The sequence below is a fragment of the Homo sapiens genome, chromosome 18, assembly GCF_000001405.40.
Source record: "Homo sapiens chromosome 18, GRCh38.p14 Primary Assembly".
Lineage (NCBI taxonomy): Eukaryota > Metazoa > Chordata > Mammalia > Primates > Hominidae > Homo > Homo sapiens.
Window position 1 is genome coordinate 58,334,308 of NC_000018.10, and position 13,347 is coordinate 58,347,654.

The window sequence follows — 13,347 nt, forward strand, 5'->3', positions numbered from 1 at the left end:
CTGAAGTCTGAACTCTACAGAGCCTCTGTACCTTCTCTTTAAAGGCAGCTCTGCTCACCAGGAATTGGCTATAATTCTTTCCAACTCTCTCATCATTTTAATAGCTATCAGCAAATGTAGAGGTGTAGGGGATTTTGTAACATCTGATGTATGTAAAAAGAAATATTCAAGTTGGAAGGCAGACTAGAACTGCCCTGAGAGATGTTTGATGTACACATTAAAAATAAGAAATTTTACATAAATTTGTTTCTTCTTTTGGAGGTGAAAATATGTGGTTTTAATGTGTTCAATTTGATATTTTACCTTGACAGTTTTTGTCTGTTGCTACAAAACCTTGATCATTTTTAAGACTAATAATGTATTACGTATGAATTTGAAGGGGGAAAAGTGCATTTAAGGTTTTTGAAATCACAGTGTCTTCCCTCTCATGTATGTTTTTTCTTGACTTCAAAGGATATTTTGGCCTAGGTTTTAATTTTTTATGTTTGAGAAAAAATTAATGAGTATACTAGTCAAGGAAGCAGTCAAAATAATAGAGTCATTTGTGACTTACACTGGAGAGACTTAATAATAAGCTTGATAAGAGCGTCTTTTCTGGGATGGTTTCAGTACAGGGCTCCCAAAAACAAAATAATCAACTGAGATGGACTGGTAGGATCCTTCTCAACCTCATGATCTGTGATTTTCCTTGAACGAATGGCACTTTCTCTCCTTTTCAAAATCAATGTCAATTTTATTTCCCAAAGAACTCACTTTCCTGGAAACTGGTGATTCCTCCCTCTTTCTTTGTACTTTCTGATGCTGTAAACTCACTGATCACCAGTGGCCTCTTGAGTTTTGAGTGTGGGGAGATTTCAGAATCTGCTAATTATTTGACAATGGCAGGCAAAACCAGACCAGCTTTCCATTTTTCTCTAAGGCAGCTCACTCTTTTGAGGTTGTCATTGTTTACCCAGGTCAAGGATGAGCCACCTTGGGGGGCATAGGGGTCACGCTTCCTTTGTGCTACTGGTCATCAGCGACTGCTGGCTTTGTCTGGATAGGGTGGGTTTCAGGGATTCTGATCTCACGTCACCTGCCTTACAGCGCTGCCACAGCAGTGGGCCCTGATTCAGACAGCAGGGGGTCATCCCCTAAGTGCATTTCACTGATGTAAATTATCATTCACAGCCCAGTGCCCCAGCTGGGAGAGCGCGTTCATCAACTGTCACGGGTGGTGAGGAACCAACGGTAATGATCCACTTTATCAGACATCAATAGCAAGAGGCCGTGAGGCAGTTTTAATATTTCGTGTAGTGGTGAATATACGCTGTTTTTAAAAATAAGATTAGCTCCTTTGTGCTACAGAGCTGCACACGTTTCTTATTTTAAGCTTCTCATTTGGGGATTGTTTAAAGGTACTGGGTAAAATAGAATGATTTTTTTAGTCCCACATAATTTTATTAGGAATACTATCAGGCTTTGGTTAAGTGCATTTAACTTGACCATTTAGAAGATATTTTTGACTTTTAGTGTTTGTACTCCTGATAAGTTTTTCCATTTCATTAGAATGCTTGGTTAAAGTAATTTGGTTGGAAGATCATCAAAGAAGCCACAGGAATTGCATGAGACTGTGTGTGTGATTCCTGGATGTGCCCAGGGCCCTTCTCTTTTCTGTATCTCCCCTACCACATTTTTCACAGGGGGTTAGACTTTTCTTGTCCCCAGAATGCACCATGACCCTTTCTCTGCCACCAGGGGCTCTCCTCACACAATGAACAAGTTTCCGTAATTCCAAGGGAACATAATTAGGATATATAAGTGATCTAGAAAAATTTATGTTTCTCTAAGCCAACCATTCTTATTCATTATTTTAAAGAATGTATGGTATTCCTGTCTGTGGGTGACTTAGATTTGTATTTTAATTGCCTGTTTTCTACTTGATCCCTAAAGTTAGGCTAGCTTATAGTTTATGCTTCGCACTGCAATAGCTGTTTAAAGAATTTCCTGGCCGGGCACGGTGGCTCACGCCTGTAATCCCAGCACCTTGGGAGGCTGAGGCAGGTGGATCATGAGGTCAGGAGATCGAGACCATCCTGGCTAACACAGTGAAACCCCGTCTCTACTAAAAGTACAAAAAATTAGCCGGGCGTGGTGGTGAGCACCTGTAGTCCCAGCTACTCGGGAGGCTGAGGCAGGAGAATGGCGTGAACCCGGGAGGCAGAGGTTGTGGTGAGCTGAGATCGCACCACTGCTCTCCACCCTGGGCGACAGAGCGAGACTCCATCTCAAAAAAAAAAAAAGAATTTCCTTATTGTTTCACCTGTGTTGTATTTTGCTATAACTGCTCATTACTTGTGGATAACTTTACGTATACAATTGCTGATTTTCTAAAGATGTTGATGACTTCAATTTAATGCTCAGCATTGTACAGAGGAAAATCAAACTGGCAACAGTCAGCCCCAGAACACTCAGCTCAGGTTAAGATATTGAGCTACAGTGGTTTACATGAGTCATGTGTTGAGTGAGGCAGCCTCCAGTAGAATTCAAGAAATTCTACATGAACTATTACCCACCGTGCACTTGTAATTTCTGTGGGAGTAGTGGAGCTTTGAGGGGGACAAGATCGTTTTGTGAGATAATTTTAGTTGAATTCAGTGCTGATGAACATCATCTGTATATCACCTATTTTTGTATTTTGTTGGCCTTGCAACCTGCGTGTAGCTTTGGAGTGTTGTGGTAGCTGATGTAGTAAATGAAGTAGGAATGGAATCATTGCAGTACCAGGCTCCATGGCAAGGGTCACCTGGCAGGACAAGGTGACCCCTCTGAATGAGATCCCGGGTGGCACGTTAGACTGCCATTTTCTTGCCTTCTTGCCTGCACTCTCCCCTCCCCGTCACTGAGTTTCAGCATGGGTTGGGTGTTTTCTTTCCACAGGCTTGGCAATATTCATTCCTAAGTGTTTCATCTACTTTGGTAGATGTAGATAGATCTCCCTACCTACTTAGGTTTGAAAGGATCACATCCATTTCTCTTCTGCTGTATCCTGCATGTTTCTCTTCCACATCCTTTGTCGTGAATGCCCTTGACTTCCTGTCTTGCAATTCTGTCTCTTCACCCCGTGTTTCCCTCTTTGGCATCCCCTCTGTTCCTCTGCACATCACTCACACTGAAGTGTATTGTCCTGGGCTGGAGCCATCATGGTATTATATCATCTCACTGCCCCTGTGCTCTCACAGACATACGGCTGTGTACACATAGGTACACATTGTGCCACTTTATTTTATTTTTTTTAAATGGGATGTCATGTATACATTACTTAGCAACTTGGTTTTTTTTTAACTTATGTTCATTCTTCTGGGACATGTTAATAATTACATAATATTCACTGACGTAAAGGCACTACAGTGTTAATTTCCCGACATTCAAGGACTTTCTGCTCCCCCTACCCTGCCCTTTCAACTCCATACGCTGTGCTGAAGTAACCGTCCTGATATAGCTTTCTTTCTATGATAGTGCTTTCATTCCTGTAGTCTAATAAACAGGCCCTGATTCTCAGCCAAGAAACCACAGCCCTTTGATTTATGGCAAATAAACGCACAGTGGTGTCACTTTCTGGCAGACTAAGCCAGGGCCCTCCCCATGAGATAAAAGGAGAGGGATAGCACAGTCCTTTCAGTCTTTGTTGTATATATTCTAAAAATACACGAGCCACCATTACTGGGTTGGTGCAAGTCTTGGCAAATCTGTGATGGTCAGTGTCAAAGTGGTTATTTTTAAAAGCATATTGAAACTTCTGCAGTTTACAATCGTGTTCTTTATTTTAATGAAAGAAACAGAGCCACTAGGAAGTTCTAGCTAATGGCTTTTGGGCATCACAAAGCAGTAGTGTATTCAGTCTATGATGAAAAGCTGTGAAATGTTAAACTAAGTCGCCATTTCTAACTGGTTTGATTACTTTTTTGTTAAGCTAGGGTGGAACATGCTCACAAGCACAGAACAGCAGAAGGCTGGTTTTGGCTTCCTGGCGGGCCCTTCCATGGCCTGTCTGTAGAAGCTGAGTCCTGCCCCCTCAACTAGCCGTGCAGGGTGGGAGGCAGTGTGAGTTACAAATGGAATCATCAGCACAAGTTGTTCTATGTGGTCATTTGGAGAGAACACTGTAAAGAAACATTTCCAAATTGCCCTCTCACATAAATGTAACTAAATTACAGGTTGCCAGTTCAGTTCTCAATAGAAGAGAGAATGAGCATTTTAATCAAATTCAGCGTTCTGTACTACACTCCTAATTTTCCACAAACTGATTAGTGCTATTCACTGTGGCTGTATGAAAGTAACCTGTATGGCCAGGTGCAGTGGCTCACACTGGTAATCCCAGCACTTTGGGAGGCTGAAGCGGGTGGATCAATTGAAGTCAGCAGTTCGAGACCAGCCTGACCAACGTGGTGAAACCCTGCCTCTACTAAAAATACAAAAATTAGCTGGGCATGGTGGCGCTTGCGTATAATCCCAGCTACTCAGGAGGCTAAGGCAGGAGAATCACTTGAACATGGGAGGCGGAGGTTGCAGTGAGCCAAGATTGTGCCACTGTACTCCAGCCTGGGCGACAGAGCAATACTCTGTCTCAAAAAGGAAAAAACAAAGTAACCTGGTTGCTAGAATTCATACAGCTTTAGGATTCAGTTCTGACATGATCTATGACACATCCATGTGCTTTCAGTTGATCAGTTGCCTCCCAAGTGTCCTTTCCAGAGATTGAGTAACTGCAAAAATATCCTTAAGGTTTCCAGAGCTAAGGTTTCCGGAGCTGAGTTTTCCAGGGGCGGGGCCAGGGGGAGTGGGGAGTTATGGGAGGGAAGGGGCCTGGGAGAGGGGGAAGTGGATCACCAGAACGGCTGAAGGGGAGGGCTCTGGGCGGAGGGAGCTGAGAATGTAACACATTCCATTTAGTATTTCATTGATTGTATAAACAATAGTAGGTCAAAACTTGATAGCACATACTTTGCCAGAGATACTAATTGACCAGGAACTTAGGTTACAACTTAGCTCAGCAGGGGAGTCCATTGAAGTGCCCGGATCCACGTAGCTCTTTGTGTTGGCATCGCTGCTAGAGGAGGAGGGGAGGAAGGAGCTTCACTCAGGCTGCATGCTAATTCATCGATGTTTAATATTCATGAAAGGATTAAGTCAGTGTTGATGTTTCTTCTGCTCCTGCTGAGTCTCCACACCTGGATCCAGAATGCTCCATGATCCGAGTCTTTGTGTCTTTATAAACTATCTTTAGGGAGCTTTAGGACTTTATCTCGGGAAATATTAAGGAAATGGTTTTCCTTAATATCAGCAGAAAGTTTTCTTACACATAATCTAAAATCAGCTGCTTCATGATCTTACCCAGGTGATCTTTCTCTGAATTGTGCTTTTAAGCCTGGGAGGTTAACATACTGCTTCTCTGTGGATGGGGTTTTCAAATTACCCGGCAGCATCCTTGTTGGTGCTTTCTCTAATTTGAGATCCTGGAGTCCACCAGGGAACTCCAGGTGACCACCTTCACCAAGACACATTGCTGGTAGTGCAGGGAAAAGGTGGCATAAGCACAGGAAGAAGTTAGGTTCAGAGGAAATTTGTATCCTCAGCCTAATAGCAAGAAAACGACAACTGCTAAAATATCTGGAAGTAAAAGAAGCAGCTTCCTTTTGTAACCTCACGTGAGAGGTTATTCCTAAGGCATGGGCTCCTCCTATACCTTTAGATTCCCCTAGGAGCCGTGGTATAGCTGTGGTCGGCTTCTGGTTTCTGAGCTTTTCCCCACTTAGAGCTCTTTCACAGGCACAGATATTACATGCATCGCCTATGCATTCAAGCCCTCCTGGGACAGCCCTGATCTCCAGCATCTGTCCCAGTGCCTCCATACATCATCAACACATCCTTGTTTTTCAGTGTTTCTCCATCCACACTGCATTTCTTAGACTGCTTCTCAGGGATCTTCTTGTGATCAAATGTGGACTGTCTAAATACAGTCACTCTATGCGGGGCAGGTCTCTAAACCCAAAAACTGCCAAGCTGTGTTCACCTTCAAAGAAACACACTCCTATCAGCAGACTTGGGTGCACATAGCCTGGGGTGTGAGGCTGGGTGCTGGGAGACTTCCTGAGCTGGGGCACACAGATGTCCTGGGTGGTCCTCCAGATTATATGCTACTGTGTGACCATCAGTATCCTAGAGAAGGGGCTCTGTGTTGGGATTTTAAAATTTTGCCCCAGAAGCTACAGTGTTAGGGTCCTAAGCTGATGGAGGAATGTAGGCCTAAGCTAGAAGAGCACCCCATGGGAGCTACATCGAGGAGAAACTCAGAGCATCCCTCTCATACACAGTGACACTGGACAGTTTGAAATACCTTTAAGCTCTACCTGGTTTGGCAGTGGAATTTAGTAGCTAGAACAGATGATAATGTTTTTCCCTTTCCCTGTGATCACCTTGGCAGCAACCCTTTACGTTTGAGACTACGGGGTCTTAGAACCAAGTTCTGTAAGAATTTGGACTCTGCAACTGTATGGGGTTCATTTCACAGTAGATTTGAAGCTGTTGGAAATCTATTGCTGTTTTCCAGACACTTGTAAGTGTTTTCTATATAAATAGATCTAATTAACTTTGTCTAGAGAAAATAATTATCTGGGTGTACCTTACTTTATTAAACTGATCAGAAAACAAATGCAAGGTATTAAATAATAATGATTTCTTGCACAAACAGCCATCAGTGGCCTATGTACATACCACGCCGGGTCTGCCTTCAGGCTGGGAAGAAAGAAAAGATGCTAAGGGGCGCACATACTATGTCAATCATAACAATCGAACCACAACTTGGACTCGACCTATCATGCAGGTACGAAGATTGCCATCCAACTTAAAACCGCAGGCCATAGAAGCCGAAATGTACATGACCGAACTCCTTTCCTGGTGTTTATGTATTGTTCTGAAAGACCCGTATTTGTAAAAGCTTTCTCACAAAGAAAATGCATTACTTTAAATACAATAATAGCCTAAGGAAGAATTTGCTTTTCAAATCAGTTTATCACTGAATATATTTTAAAAATGTGACGTGAAAGATATTTTCAAAGTAAGAGCCTATTGCAGTGTGTAGCTTCTTCCCTGCCCAGCCCCCACTTTAATCCGAGGCTAGTTTTTATGCTGGGCTAGTGATTCATTTTTATTTCCCTTGAATGTGTTTCCCCATCCTTTCCCCCATCATTATGTTTAATTATTTCCTCCACGCTTTAAATAGGCCAGACCTCTTATTATTGCTGTTTGCGTTGTTGTTTGGGTTCGCGCTCCTAATCACACACACCGGGAGATCCTCCTATGAAGCTAACTTGTTTTTGCCTCCAAAATAGCTTGCAGAAGATGGTGCGTCCGGATCAGCCACAAACAGTAACAACCATCTAATCGAGCCTCAGATCCGCCGGCCTCGTAGCCTCAGCTCGCCAACAGTAACTTTATCTGCCCCGCTGGAGGTGAGACGGCTACCTCATCTAACTGGACTCACTCTGTCCTGTGACTCCCATTCTTTCTTCTCTCTTAACTCTGCCTTCAGTTTCGCAGCCACCTCCTCTCTCTGATCAGTCGTTGTGTTGGTAGTGAAGGGTGTTCTTGTGCAGCCTTTCTACCTGCTTCTCTGTCTCGCCCAGTTAACATTCCTGGACTCTCTCACCTGATTCTCATTCTCATTTGGCTAAGGCCGTGGTGACTTGTGCTGGACGTGGGCACTCTCTTTTCAGGACTTCCACCGTTCTTGTTGTGTTTCGCTTCTTTTTGCCTGTTACCTCATTAGAATTGCGTAATCCCTCTTTCAAATACCAAGTGCTGATATTGAGTTTTTAAACATAGCTATTGCTTTGATCATTTGTTTTTCTTTCGACTGTAGGGTCTTTCATTCTATGGGCATACATGTTTCTGATGCATATTTGCATCTCTGCATCATGGCTGGGCATCTGCTTGTGCTCTCTGTCGTGTTTGTGTTGTTTTGGTGCCATCCTTTAACATCACAAATGTCAGAGTTAGAGAAGCCAAAGAGCAAATGTTTGAGGTCCTAAGCTTGACTGTGTCTTAGAGACAGCTGTGGGCTTCTCCACGCCCTGGGTCCAGATGCTGATAAGTGGGAATGGATGCTGTCTCTTCCACACTCTGATATGAATGTCATGGGTAACAACTGTGAGATTCCAGATCGTTGTATTTATTGATGTAGCTTTTTTCCTTTTTGTGCTCTAAAACTTGCCAATCTGTTCTTCATTAGACTGTGAGCTCATTAAGAGCAAGGGCACATTTTTCTCCACTCTGTAAAATCTCCATCCATAATGCTTAGTACAGAACAGTATTTTTGGTACATACTGAGTAGCTACCAAAGGATGGTGGTTATAAGTACTTAATATTGTTGTGTGTTTATCCAACAGAGAAAATGTAAAGTTAGATTGATTTAAAAGTAAATGAATGACAGAAAACAGGTTTTGGGGATCTTCCCTCTTGTCCATCTCCAAAGAGAAGCCTTCTGCAATACCCAGGTACATTTTGGCACATTGGAATCGCACATGCTAAAGAGTTCTAATCCTCATTGTTATTCTTTAGGGTGCCAAGGACTCACCCGTACGTCGGGCTGTGAAAGACACCCTTTCCAACCCACAGTCCCCACAGCCATCACCTTACAACTCCCCCAAACCACAACACAAAGTCACACAGAGCTTCTTGCCACCCGGCTGGGAAATGAGGATAGCGCCAAACGGCCGGCCCTTCTTCATTGATCATAACACAAAGACTACAACCTGGGTAAGGCTGCTGCTTTTATTTGGCTCCATTTTCATCATGAAGTCTGGCATTAATTCCTTGATTTCCTTAGTGTTTGTAGTTCTTGCAGAGGAATTGGATTGACTGTAAAGGGTGTCTCCAGAGGGTCTCCTCAGCCTGCATCTGGCCCCTGCATAAATGGGCGGGTGGGAGTGGGTGGGCACAGGCTGGTAGCTGTCTTTGGTATTGGTGCTGGGACTGCCTTTTCTCCTGGGAAGCTCTAGTTTAGACAGTTCACCGTGCTGGATGGAAAGGTATTGCTCTGTGCTGTTAAGATTTTGTTAATTGATCCCGTCTCACAAAGTAATCTCACTAGGAGTTATAATCATTTTCAAATAATTTTTTCTTTTGTCAGTTTCTTCTTGCACTTTCATTGGCATTACCCACCTTCTTTTGATTTGTCGCTTTAGTTTTTACCGTTCACATCAGATCAGTATTCACACATCTGAGGTACATTTTCATGCCCTTGATCATGGGGTAGGGGATGTACTGAGTGACTTTGGTTGTAGATCTGATAGCTCCTTTTTGTGATCATTTTGTCAAAATTGATTTTTCTTACCATGCAACTCTTTCATGTACTCCTGAATTGTACCCAAGAAAGAATCTGTACATTGTATTATCTTGAGCAAAATGAGATTAATCAAAGGCAAATATGCATATCTTTGTATTTCTGTGTCAGTTCTTTATTTCTTTAGCCGAATCGGTGGCTTTTTCAGTGTAGTATATGATTCTTTTAAAAGTCAGTTGGTATTTTCCTGCTATATAATCTCTATACCTGTAATTACACTGAAACCGGTTCCCGTATTTCTGGCTATTTTTGATGCTGCAGATGGTTTTTCTTCCGGTTATGTCCCCATCGAATTGTCTAGCTAGAGTTAACTCAGAGTTTAACTTGGTCCTACTATTATCTGTGCTACTTGCTCAAAACTGATGTTATGGGAATGCTGGTTGAGTTTTGGTGATTGTTATTGGCCCTAGCTCTTCGGTCTTGGACCAACAATAAACATACACCATTAATTCCCATTTCTAGTGATGGACATTAAGTGTGTCCATTTGATAGACCAGCAGCCTTATATTCAAGAACAAGCCCTGCTCAAGGGGATTTGGGCTGTCATTTTATGCCTTGCCCATTGTGTGGTATCAGTTCAGTCCAGCAGGTCTAGAGGGCGTGCTCCTAGAATCCTTTGAACCGTGGGACATTGTGTCTTCAAGGGCATTCTTGGCATTTGGGGCAGGGACATTTGTGCCTTCAGTTGCAGACTATTTAACAAACTTGGCTTCTGCTACCAGGTGCTAATGGTCACCATTACCCCCACCCCAACATAGTGATGACCAGAAATGCCCTACACATTTCAAAACAGCCCTAAGTGAGAACCACTCTAAGAGCTCTTTCTATTTTGAAGTAAGGGAATGGCCTGCCAAGAGAATTTCTCATTTAGATCTGGTAACATTCATTTGGTAAACTGATAACTGCTTCTAAGGCATATAATAACATGTAGGTTTGACTCCCCTACTAGTCTGAAGATAATGTTACAGATTTGCAAGCAAGCCAAGAGTAAGAGACGGGCAGCTCGTTGGAAAATATAGTAATGGAGTTCTTTTTTTTTATGTCTTTTTACTTATTACCATGGAACCCCTGGCTGTCCTGCCAGTGTTCTCATTTACTATAGCACTGCTGTAATTTCAAGTCCTTAGCCAGAAACAGGCTCCAGAAATAAGGGCTAACGAATATAAAAGTAGATGGATTAGTGTAAGGAGCCACTGTGGCTTGCCAACATAAGCTATGATTTTAGTAATTTTAACTAGCTTGGTAATCAAATCCCCTAACCTTTTCACAGCCTTTCAAGCCACAACAACAGTGTAATTGCAGCTGGGCAGATTGTATTTTAAATTAAACAGCACTCGCTTTATTTATTGCTTGCAACATTGCTGAATGAAACCCATTTTTACTTTCCAGTTGCGCCTGTTTACCCAGATACTTGTTATTGACTAATTTACTGATTTAAAATCATAATCTGTTAGAACAACGTTTTGTTGCTGCTGCTAGTGTGGGAAATCCTCAAGGTAACAACTGGAAATTCCACAAGCTACTCCCCTTCTTAAGCGAATTCAGATGTGCTGACACAGCTGCGCTATCGCTTCTAAACAAAGGCCTAGGCAGGATTTTCCCTGCGGAAGACACACTCTAAATTGCCTGTTCATTTTGACAAAAGATGAAGAGCCGGAGGGAAGCATGAAGATAATTTGCAACTTAAAAATCTGTTTTGAGTTGGTTTTAGGGTTTGCTTTGTTTTTTATTTTTGAAAGAAGAAGAGAACAAATGAGAGAACAGCATAGCTATTCTTAGATTTGAGCATTAGAATAGAAAAAGGAAAAAAACTGGTAGGACAGGTTGAAAATGATGAAAATAACACTCCTTCCCCCATCGGCCTGGGCACTGTTGATTCTTACACCAACCAGAAGCCTGAAAAGTATCAGGACATTTCCCCTCTATACATTGAGAAATTAAAAAATTTATTGAAATATGTCATGAAAGATGACCTTTTACACACACACAGATACTGAAGGCAGTATGCCATCAGTATTTGGATAAAGTTTGGCCTCATTCTCTTTTTTTTAATTATTATTTTTTTTGTTTTTGAGACGGAGTCTCACTCTTGCCCAGGCTGGAGTGTAATGGCACAATCTCAGCTCAGTGCAACCTCTGTCTCCCGGGTTCATGCGATTCTCTTGCCTCAGCCTCCTGAGTAGCTGGGATTACAGGCACATGCCACCACACCAGCTAATTTTTGTTGTTTTTTGTTTTTTGTTTTTTTTAGCACAGACAGGGTTTCACCATGTTGGCTAGGCTGGTCTCGAACTCCTGACCTCAAGTGATCCTGCCGCTTCGGCCTCCCAAAGTGCTGGGATTATGGGCATGAGACACCCTGCCAGGCCAAGTTTAGCTTCATTCAAAGAAAGAAAGAAAGATTGGCTTTGTTCCCCGCCTGGGTCAGGCCTTTCAGGGAATGCATGCTGGAGACCAGGGGCTTGGGAGGGATGTACCAAGGAGGGATGTTCCATCCTCAGCAGCTCAGAGCACGTGTATACGGGTTGAGTATCCCTAGTTTAAAGATTCAAAATCCAAAATGATCCAAAGTCTGAAACCTTGTAAGCACTGACATGACACTCAAGCAATAAATGCTTATTGGAGCATTTCAGATTCTCAGATTAGGGATGCTGAAGTGGTAAGTATAACTGCAAATATTTTGAAATTCAAAGCCCCTCTGGTCCCCAAGCATTATGGGTGAGGGATGTTCAACGCATATTAGTATATTTGTGCCTTTCACAGGATGAAGCATGGGCTTGCTTTTGTAGCAAGAAAGATTACACCCTAGTTAAGTTGCAGGTTTGTTTTCCATCCAAGTTCAAACTAATGAAACTTATTACTCTAGGTGTGGTTGCTGGTCTCTTCCAGGATGGAAAAGATAAAGAAAAAAGGCACTTTTTTTTAATCCCTGTGTTTTATATATTTTGAATTAGGAAAGCCCTTTTTAAAAAGATACTGCTCTTTGCATCCTGTTTAAAAACACTTTGAACTTGATGGAGGGAAGCAATTTTATATTACACATGAAAGAGTTCCCGTTATGAAACTGAAGAAAGGAAGAAACAACCAGGCACACTTTATGCGTTGGATCATTTATTTTCATTGCATCAGAGCCCTCGTTAGTATTCCACTTTCTCATCAGCTCTGAAGTTGTCCATAACTAATAGAGAGCCTTGACCGCCACTTCATGTGCCCTGGCAACTAAGGAGAGATGCCTGCCTCCTTGAGTGGCTCGGTGGGAGTCAGGGCTTGAGGGTGACCACTAGCCTTAGCCCTCAGAGCTGATTCATGGCAGCTGCTGCCATTATTTTTATTATTTTTGATAAAATAATATTATAAGCCTCAAGGCCTCTGGCCCTCACAGTCTATGAAGTCTAGGTTTCCATGCAAGGCCACTTTAGCAGATCTTTGAAATTCGGTTGACTTTATACTTCATGCTCTGCCCCTCACTGCCTCCCTGACACTTTTCTCTAATTTCAGCTTCTTTTCACGCTACGGCCCCCCCCGCCCCCCCCCCCCCTTTAAATCACCAGCCTTTTACCAATAGGGCTGATTGTCTTTCACGGTAGCCTACATGTGATTCCAAGGTCAGGCTGGCCTTGTGTGTAGCATTCAGAAGCCCTGCCCTCTTTCATGTAATAGCAGTCCTCAGCTTTCTCTAAATCTGGCATGGTCATAGGCTAGGTGGAAGCCCAAGGGTCCCCCGCTGGTTGTGGCGTTACCTGGTCCGGATCAGAGTTAGCATTGAGTGGGTAGCTTTTGAGAAATTCAGTGCTTTCAGTTTTTCCTCTGTCTGTAGTTAACCAGTCATGAATGTTTACCAGATTATCAGCTTCTTGGACCTTCTCAATCCTAAATCAGCTTAGCATATTTCTTTATGTTCTGTGTATGTCAGTGTACTGCAGAATACTGGATTATTTTGTGCCTCTGCTTAGCCTTTTAAAAAA

General features: G+C 42.7%; 1 protein-coding gene across 50 annotated transcripts in view, besides 1 other annotated feature; it reads left to right on the top strand.

Annotated features, from left to right (window-relative positions):
* The window catches only part of NEDD4L (NEDD4 like E3 ubiquitin protein ligase), a 357,315-nt gene that overhangs the window by 290,082 nt on the left and 53,886 nt on the right, over positions 1 to 13,347 (top strand). For 24 of the 50 annotated variants that reach the window (XM_006722426.5, XM_047437406.1, XM_006722428.5 and 21 more), the window contains 4 exons: positions 1,171 to 1,230; positions 6,731 to 6,862; positions 7,371 to 7,490; positions 8,599 to 8,796. The exons of 5 other annotated variants lie outside the window; for them this stretch is intronic. In XM_006722426.5, the coding sequence (XP_006722489.1) occupies positions 1,171 to 1,230; positions 6,731 to 6,862; positions 7,371 to 7,490; positions 8,599 to 8,796 (510 nt within the window). The remainder of the gene's footprint in view (positions 1 to 1,170; positions 1,231 to 6,730; positions 6,863 to 7,370; positions 7,491 to 8,598; positions 8,797 to 13,347) is intronic. 21 more of the 50 variants (XM_047437407.1, XM_047437408.1, XM_017025678.3 and 18 more) reach the window with 3 other exon arrangements.
* Positions 10,810 to 11,104: a silencer, noted in NCBI's record as "tiled region #8690; K562 Repressive non-DNase unmatched - State 24:Quies". NCBI's record gives its function as "represses a minimal TATA promoter and a strong SV40 promoter by Sharpr-MPRA in K562 cells {active_cell/tissue: K562}" and the evidence as "EXISTENCE:reporter gene assay evidence [ECO:0000049][PMID:27701403]".